This window comes from Homo sapiens, chromosome 9 (genome assembly GCF_000001405.40).
Source record: "Homo sapiens chromosome 9, GRCh38.p14 Primary Assembly".
Classification (NCBI taxonomy): domain Eukaryota; kingdom Metazoa; phylum Chordata; class Mammalia; order Primates; family Hominidae; genus Homo; species Homo sapiens.
In genome coordinates this window covers 72,508,776-72,518,445 of record NC_000009.12, presented here as the reverse complement: position 1 = coordinate 72,518,445, position 9,670 = coordinate 72,508,776, and positions in this window count along the sequence as shown.

Below are 9,670 nucleotides of genomic sequence, written 5' to 3'. Positions count from 1 at the left end.
AAACACCTGACCTTGTGATCCGCGCGCCTCGGCCTCCCAAAATGCTGGGATTACAGGCGTGAGCCACTGCACCTGGCCTATGTTAAAACTACCTTATGAGCTAGTTATTAGTGCCATCCTCATTTTATGTATGAGGAAATGGAGGTTTGTAGAAGTTTAGTACCTTGCCCAAGGTTGCACAATTAATGAGTGATCAGGGGAGGATTGGAACCCACTTTTGACACCCGAGCCAGAGCCCTTAGGCACCAAGCTGGGCCACCATTCTCCTTACTTCTTTTTTTCCAAGTGTTCTCAATAAAAGTGACCTGCAATTTGCTGATATGGAATTGGAATTCCATATCCTATAATCTGTCAAAAGATGGTACAGAGACAAAAGGATAAAAGGAAGGAGGAGGATAAGAAAAACATGAGCTCTGCCCTGAAATAATGGAAAACTGGACACACATGTTAAGCAACTGAAACCCACACATCAGAACAATAAAACCAGTGCCATAGGTTCTAGGTAAATGTCTGTGGAACTAAATGTGAGATCAAATAAGATCTAGAAGCACTAAGGGGGTCTAATTATGGACATGAACAGCATTTGTGAAAAGTTTGTTAAGAAAATATGGATTTCTTCTTTACAGTAGTAAACTGTAACTCTCCACACTACTTCCCCCATCATCCAAAAGTTCCAAAGGTCATGTGAAAATTGTGAATATTAAATAAAGGATCCAGCTTAAGAAACCAATTTATTACAGTGAGAACTGTCATAATTCAACTAAATGTTTATTGAATGCGCACTATATGTATGCACTGCACAGCAGATATTTTGAAGCCTTAATTTGTTCACAATATTGGCAGAAATTCCTAAATAACTATTCACACTGTAGTCAGTATAAAAACGGTAGTCCATGAAAACACATTTCTAAGCTTATTTCTCTAAATTGGAAACATTTTGAATTAGGGTAAGAATTTGTGAAATAAAGTACCCATTTATTTCTGCTATTTAGTGTTTTAAATTTAAAGCAAGCTATGTCTTCTTCAAAAACATAGTCTTTAACATTGTTTTCTGAATTTAGTATGTTTAAAAATATGTGAAAAACCAAAATGGGCTATGAATTCCCATATGTCACAGTTAACTCATTCGAACCTAGAATCTTCTTCCTACAGTGGAAAACTATAAAACTCTCTCCTTTTAAATAGTCTTCACTATATTTGAAAGTTTAAGAGATCACATTTCATCATCATAAATACGAAGCACTTGATTCTACTGACAAGCCATTTTTCACAATGTTTATTAATAAAATGATCTTAAAAATAGAGAACCTAGGCCAGGCACAGTGACTCATGCCTGTAATCCCAGCATTTTGGGAGGGAGATCACTTGGGGGAGGGGGGCAGATCACTTGGGGTCAGGAGTTTGAGACCAGCCTGGCCAACATGGTGAAACCCCTTCTCTACTAAAAACACAAAAATTAGCCAGGCATGGTGGTGCATGCCTGTAATCCCCACTACTTGGAGGCTTAGGCAGGAGAATCGCTTGAACCCAGGAGAGAGAGGTTGCAGTGAGCCGAAGTCGCACCACTGCACTCCAGCCTAGGTGACAGAGAGAAACTCCATCTCAATAAATGATAATAATAATAAAGAACCCATACACTGTTTCTCAACCTGAAAACATTTTTATCTTGGCAGAAATCAACAATATCATAAAAGAATGGACTCATGAAATGAAATCTGGTTTTCAACAATCAATACCTATAACATCAAAGGGCTAAGATAAGCACAAATTTTAGAAAAGATGGTTATGCACCATGCAAATGTGCGTATGAGAAAGGGTTCTACAAACAAGTGGGACAGAGGTAGGAAAAGAAGGTCATTTTTGTGGATGCCTGGTAGTGCTATTTCTTTTTTAGCTCATGACTAAATATATTGCTCTTTACTTAAAACACCTCAATGGTTTCTCATTGCCCGCATTATAAAATCCAATCCCTTACCATAGCTCTCAGTGTCCTGAATGGAATTCCCCTCTCCAACTTCATTCCCTAGCATTCTCCGAAATACTCCCTGAAATTTTGTCATACTAGCTTTCTAGTATGTAGTGGTTCTCCAAATAGACCATGGGAAAAACTGCAAGGACTTTCATCTAGCGAATAAAAATCTGGTTTATGCTCCTTGTTTTTACACACAATTTTTCCTAACTGAAACAGCCTTCTTTAACTATTGCACCCTCACAACCAAGGCTAAGAGAGTCTTCTGTGAAGCCATCTCGAACCACTTTCCCAAAAGCCGCTACACTCTTTCCTTTGTGTCAGACAGTATTCCTTTTACATTATTTATTGTGCTTATTACCCACTTAATTCCCTTTTAAGTTGGAGAAGTCGTCATGCCAGAGTCTGTGACTTAATTATCTTTGCATCTCAGGCTCTAGCACAGTTTCAGACATATCATAGAAGTTTGATAAAACTTCAGTGTTGTACTGATGTTGAATCTTATGTAGACATAAAACGTACATTTGAAAATCATCTCGGTCAGGTGCAGTGGCTCACGCCTGTAATCCCAGCACTTTGGGAGGCTGAGGTGGGCGGATCACAAGGTCAGGAGTTCGAGACCAGCCTGACCAACATGGTGAAACCCAGTCTCTACTAAAAATACAAAAATTAGCTGGGCGTGGTGGCGGTCCCCTGTAATCCCAGCTACTCAGGAGGCAGAGGCAGGAGAATCGCTTGAACCCAGGATGTGGAGGTTGCAGTGAGCCAAGATCCACCATGGCACTTCAGGCTGGGTGACACAGCAAGATACCACCTAAAAAAAAAACCTCTGTATTTCAATAGTTATCATTTTTATTTTTATCTCCCTACAATATCTATATATATTTTCCCTCTGTTCCACCTTCTCTCATATCAAAACTTTTTGCTTTTCTAATGGGTATATTCAGCTGGCTTCATTGTACAGCATTATAACAGCTAGCAAAAGAACACAATCTGTGGAAACAGTTAAGCTCACCTCTTTTTTTTTTTTTTTTTTTTTTGAGACAGTCTCACTCTATTGCTCAGGCTGGAGTGCAGTGGTGCTATCTTGGCTCACTGCAACCTCCCCTTCCCAGGTTCAAGCGATTCTCGTGCCTCAGCCTCCTGAGTATCTGGGATTACAGGTGCCTGCCACCATGCCCAGCTAATTTTTGTATTTTTAGTAGAGACGAGGTTTCACCATGTTGGCCACGCTCGTCTCAAACTCCTGACCTCAAATGATCCATCCACCTTAGCCTCCCAAAGTGCTGGGATCACAGGTGTGAGCCATCGCACCTGGCCAGCTCACTTCTTAAGAAGTAAAGTTGTCCAAAATTTTAAAATTATTAAATACGTGTATGCGTGTATGTTTGAGTACAACTATTATTACATAATTTGGAATGGAGGAGTGAGCTAAAGTTATGTTTCAGTCATGAATCAAGATCTGTCCCACAAAGGTTATCACAAAACTACCAGTAAAATGATAATGAATATTCACCCAAATGTCTATTACCTTCATTAGTTTGTGGATACAAATAATGTCAAATTTTCAGTTAAATTTGGACTTGTGGATGGGCACAGTGTCTCACACCTATAATCCCAGCACTTTGGGAGGCCGAGGCAGGCAGATCACCTGAGTTCAGGAGTTTGAGAGATGCTGAAACCCCATCTCTATTAAAAATACAAAAAAAATTAGCCAGGCATGGCAGCACACACCTGTGGTCCCAGCTACTTGGGAGGCTGAGGCAAGAGAATTGCTTGAACCTGGGAGGCAGAGGTTGCAGTGAGCCGAGACTGTGCCACTGTGCTTCAGCCTGGGCCACAAAGCGAGACCCCATCTTAAAAAAATAATAAAAAATAAATAAATTTGGACTTGCTCTTGAAGGATTCCAGATCCTTTCAGACTGTTCTTTCTTCCCTGAGTTGCCCAGTGTGGCAGAATCACTAAGGAATGTCTTACAAATCATTCGTGGTCATCACACACCGACACCTACATTGGTGCTGCTGTTAACAGTGCCAGAACTGTGCAGACACTGCACCTACCTCGCTTTTGTCTTTTATTTTGTTTTTGTTTTGTTTTGTTTTTGCCCTCCCAAGATTGTTTCCAGTCAATAATGTTCACAAAGAGAGACAAGTGAAAGAATCTGCTCGGTGTGTTATGCTCTCCTTGGGGGTTCTCAGAAATGGTGGACAGCAGTGAGAAGAATGCAAAAAAAAAAAAAAAAAAAATCAGGGGCCTGGGACGTAGGGTTACAAAGACAGTGAAAAACACATTTTTTTTTCTCTCTTCTTAGAGTGACATACAGGGTGAATTTATCAGGGTTAATTTCAAGTATTAGCTGCCACACTTTAATATTTCTCTCACTTTCACAGACCCTCTGTCCTTTGGCCTGTACTGGAGTCTGACTTGTCCAGCAGCACATTGTCCTCGTGGTGAATTCTCTTATCAGGTACTCCCTCTAAGACTTAATAAAATCGGTCAGCTTGTGCTCCCACCTCCAAAACATATACACCCCAGCCCCAAATCCACCAGACAAACCTGTGTACATCTGAACCCCAGTTGTGAACTATCCTTAAGTTGTTCACTTTTTCTTTCAGGAAGTTTCTCAATATCCTCTTTTTTTTAAATTTTATTATTATTATACTTTAAGTTTTCGGGTACATGTGCACAATGTGCAGGTTTGTTACATATGTATACATGTGCCATGTTGGTGTGCTGCACCCATTAACTCGTCATTTAGTATTAGGTATATCTCCTAATGCTATCCCTCCCCCCCTCCCCACACCCCACAACAGTCCCCGGAGTGTGATGTTCCCCTTGCTGTGTCCATGTGTTCTCATTATTCAATTCCCACCTATGAGTGAGAATATGCGGTGTTTGGTTTTTTGTCCTTGAGATAGTTTGCTGAGAATGATGGTTTCCAGTTTCATCCATGTCCTACAAAGGACATGAACTCATCATTTTTTACAGCTGCATAGTATTCCATGGTGTATATGTGCCACATTTTCTTAATCCAGTCTATCGTTGTTGGACATTTTGGTTGGTTCCAAGTCTTTGCTATTGTGAATAGTGCTGCAATAAACATACGTGTGCATGTGTCTTTATAGCAGCATGATTTATAGTCCTTTGGGTATATACCCAGTAATGGGATGGCTGGGTCAAATGGTATCTCTAGTTCTAGATCCCTGAGGAATCGCCACACTGACTTCCACAATGGTTGAACTAGTTTACAGTCCCAACAGTGTAAAAGTGTTCCTATTTCTCCACATCCTCTCCAGCACCTGTTGTTTCCTGACTTTTTAATGATCGCCATTCTAACTGGTGTGAGATGGTATCTCATTGTGGTTTTGATTTGCATTTCTCTGATGGCCAGTGATGATGAGCATTTTTTCATGTGTTTGTTGGCTGCATAAATATCTTCTTAAGATCAGTAATTACAAAGATAGACTCCTAGGGAAGTGGAGTATCATCTAACTCTAGGCCACCAAACTATCCAAAATTCAGCCATGAATCAGAGGTGAATCCCTTCACAACAGTAATTGCCACTGTAAGAAATATGTTAATTATTAGCATTTGTAGCTTTGCTAAAGAGCATTCCCATTAAAAAGGCCAGAATTTGAATTAGACATTCATTGTAAAATTAAATGACAAGAAAGTCATGAAACCGTATGCGTTTGGTTTTCTCTGTCTAGTGAAACATAATTCTCCTTTTCTCTTAACATTGGCAAATTTTATTGATATAGTTGTTACAGGAACCTTCTTCTTTTGATGGACGGCTTTGGTTTGAGCAGTTTTCCTTCTGCCACTGTGCCACATGTAAATATTAACTGTGATGTAACCTACTCTATAAACTGAGGTTTTAAATTCAAGAGCTAATTTTAATCCTGGTTATGTCAATGAGATTTCATTGAAGATAAACATAGCCTGCTGAATTTTTATGTCAATAGAGTGAAAACAGTAGAGTATATATGCAGTTACCAAATTAGAAAGAAATTTTATTTATTTGTTTGTTTGTTTGTTTGTTTTTGGGTTTTGCTTTGTTTTTGTTTTTGTTTTTGAGACAGTGTCTTGCTCTGTCGCCCAGGAGGGCAATGGCATGATCTCGGCTCACTGCAGCCTCTGCCTTGTGGGTTCAAGCAATTTTCATGTCTCAGCCTCCCGAGTAGCTGGGATTACAGGCCTGGCTTTTTTTTTTTTTTTTCCTGGTATTTTTAGTAGAGATGGGGTTTTTCCCTGATGGCCAGGCTGGTCTCAAACTCCTGGCCTCAAGTGATATGTCCACCTTGGCCTCCCAGAATGCTGGAATTACAGGCGTGAGCCACCGCACCCAGCCAGAAAGAGGTTTTTTAATCCCTCCACTTTGAATTCTCCAGTCTTCCAATGTTACAATAGCTCCTCTTTGGACAAAGTATTGGGATAAAGGTCAGATATTTCAGATGACCAAATGGAAAAAAGCACTAAAGCAATTTTCTAGCAAATGTATCTGAAATATTATTCATTATACAGTTTGGGTATCCACAGTGATTGAATTTACTAAACCATTTATTTTGTGTGGTTACACTTTGACATTATAGGTCAGATCAAAATGACACACAAGAGCAACAGAAGGCCATTTGCTCAAAGTACATGTGTATTTATCTTTCTGCTCTAAATGCTTCCAAATATTACAGTTGTTGAGGGTAGAGCCAGTTGAGGGTTTTGTTTGTTTGTTTGTTTGTTTAAGTTAAGGAACAAGGTAGAGCAAGTATTCACCCATTGTCCTGAGAAAAGAGCATAGGCCTTTGGTTTTTTTCCAGGAGCTGAGTAAATCTGCCCATATCCTGATAAGCAGAGGTTTTTCTTGGGATGGAGGTGGGCCAATCTGCCTAAAGATCCCAGTCCCTGAACTCCGGACAATATTCAAAATGAAAAATTATAATCATGGAAACTAAAGTACAAAATTGGCAGTGTCTTTGAGGACAGGTGATGCAGGGCTACCACCTGGGTTTAAATGTTTGAGAGAGGGCTTGTTTGAGCAGGTGACTAATGCTGGAAGCTCCCCCACCCTAGGCACCTTAGCATAGTAGGTGGACTTGATAGCACAAAAGTGTAAACTAAGCCTGGCATGGTGGCTCAAGCCTGTAATCCCAACACTTTGGGAGGCTGAGGCGGGCAGATCACCTAAGGTCAGGAGTTTGAGACCAACCTGGCCAACATGGCGAAATCTCATCTCTACTAAAAATTCACAAATTAGCCAGGTGTGGTGGCACGCACCTGTGGTCCCAGTTACTCAGGAGGCTGAGGCATGAGAATCACTCAAAACCAAGGACGGGCAGAGGTTGCAGTAAGCTGGATCCCACCACTGCACTCCAGCCTGGGCAACAGAGTGAAACTCTGTCTCAAATAAATAAGTAAATAAATAAATATAAATAAAAAAATAAAAGTGTAAACTAAAATGTGTTGTTCCCCTGGGACCCAACCCAAGGCCTGGTCAAGGACCCAGGCCAACCAGCCCATTCTAGTAGCAGTGTAGACTGCATGGAACCAATCTTCATTTATGATATCAAGTAGCAAGAAGCAACAGCTCAGACCTAACACCACCATCACCATCACCATCTTTGAACTGGGATTTTTACACTATTTGGAGGAGTGGAATCACAACAAGAAATACTAGATTCTTGCTAGTAAGTCTTATGGGGGCTAGAATGGTCAATTCAAATAATTTTTTAAAAATATATGAACATATTTATACCCTAAGTTTGTACATCAGGACCTACTGTTTATATAGTTCCAAATAATCTGTTATTTATAGTTATCTTGTTTTTTTCCTTTTCTACAGGCTAATTGGATCATTTATACTAAACAAATAGTTGCATTATTATCAGGGAAGAATTTATGAAGTTCTAAATAGAAGGTAGAGAGCATCTATTTACCAGTGTTAGCTTTTTAATGCTCTGAGGAAAGATAATTGGTAATTGGCAACTCTGCTTTTTTTTTTTTTTTTAAAAAACCTACTCAAACATTTTGATGAAGAAAATTTTTTTACTAAAAAAAGGGAGGGACAATAGCAAAAACAGAGATAAATAGGCAGCTTTATTGGTTGACTTTCTATGTATTAAAAGCATCTCTCTGACTCTGCAGGTATGTATAAATTTGTGGTTATGCATAGGAAAGCTTAAGTATTTCACACTTAAGGTCAAGTACTCAGATGGCCATAGTTTGCAAAAGGGCCACATGTACATTTGAATTCAAAGTATAAGTATCTGCTTAGATAAACTTTTAATTAAATGTTTGATGTTTGACTTTTCCTTGCCAGATAAATAAAATCCAGCCGCTGACTAATTAAGTAGAAAACTTGAGCACTGAGACAGGACACAGAAAAACAAAAATAATTTATCCAGTGATTTTGCCTTTCTTAGTGAGGCCAGGATATGTTACAGGGGGTGAATTTGCTTCAGATTGAAGTGTTTGAAGAGTATGAACCACCAAAAACACAGATTCAACTCATGTAAGAATCCACAAAGGTACACACACACATATTCCTCAAAAACATCAGACATTAAATGTCTAGGGTTTTAAATATATATCAGTTCTTAAAATGGCTCCACAGAAATGACAAATCCGAAAATCTAACTAGTGGCTAAGGCCTCTATTTTATGACTCAGACTTTCTGTTCCTGTCAGAGGAATGGAAGGAGAGCAATACCTTTTAGTTTAGTTTCTCTCCAAACCTACTTATCAGCTAAGATTACAATGAAGGTCACAATTATAAAATGGTTGAATTCTCTTTATTTTAGGCAGTGGAAGATATACTTTGATTGTTTTATTTAATTTCCTTCCCAGGGAAAAGCCATTAATGCATTTCTTATTTTTTTAGAGCTTATTTTTCAAATCCACCTGGATCATTCAGTGCCTTTTCTTGCTTTGGGGATAATTTTAGAAAATCTATTGCAAGCAGATCATGAAGAGGATAAAGAAAATGCAGTCAGTTTGTTCCAAGTCCTTCAGTTCGCTGCATTTTATTGTGTTATAAATTTCATATATTCAGCTTGGACTCTCCTCTAGCTCCTCTGTCCCACCTCCCTCCCACACTCATCTGAAAGATAAAAATATGTGAGTGCTGTCTTTTTCTACTCAGACTTTTACAGAGTAACAGTAATAGCTTTGAAAATCTTCCAGTATAATTAATCTAACCTGTGACATCATTTAACTGTAGTGACTCACATTTGTGTAGTACTTCAGACATTACAATATTTTCTTATTTGAGACTTGCACAGCACAATGAGAAAGATAAAGAAGGAATTGCTAATATTTCTGTTACACAATGGAGAAAATTGTGCCTCATAGGGCCCGATGATGGCCCAAAATCAGCTAGTAAGTGGAAGGGCTGGTTTGCCTACTTTGACTATACTACTTTGCCTCTTTCCAACTAGTTGTTATGTGACTTTCCATCTAGCATGTTTTCAACATATTCAGCATTTATGTTTCTCTCATGAAACATAAGTAGGAAAACAATAAGCAAAATAGAAGAGAGAATTTAGAGAATTCTCTAGATAGGTTGCCTATTGCCCTGGATAGAAGTACCCATTTTGATCTTCATAAAGATTGCACATAAGCCTTTACATAAAATATCATACATATCTCACAACTAAAATTCAAATATCAATTAATATTCAGAGCAGGAAAAGTTAGTAGCCCAAGAAA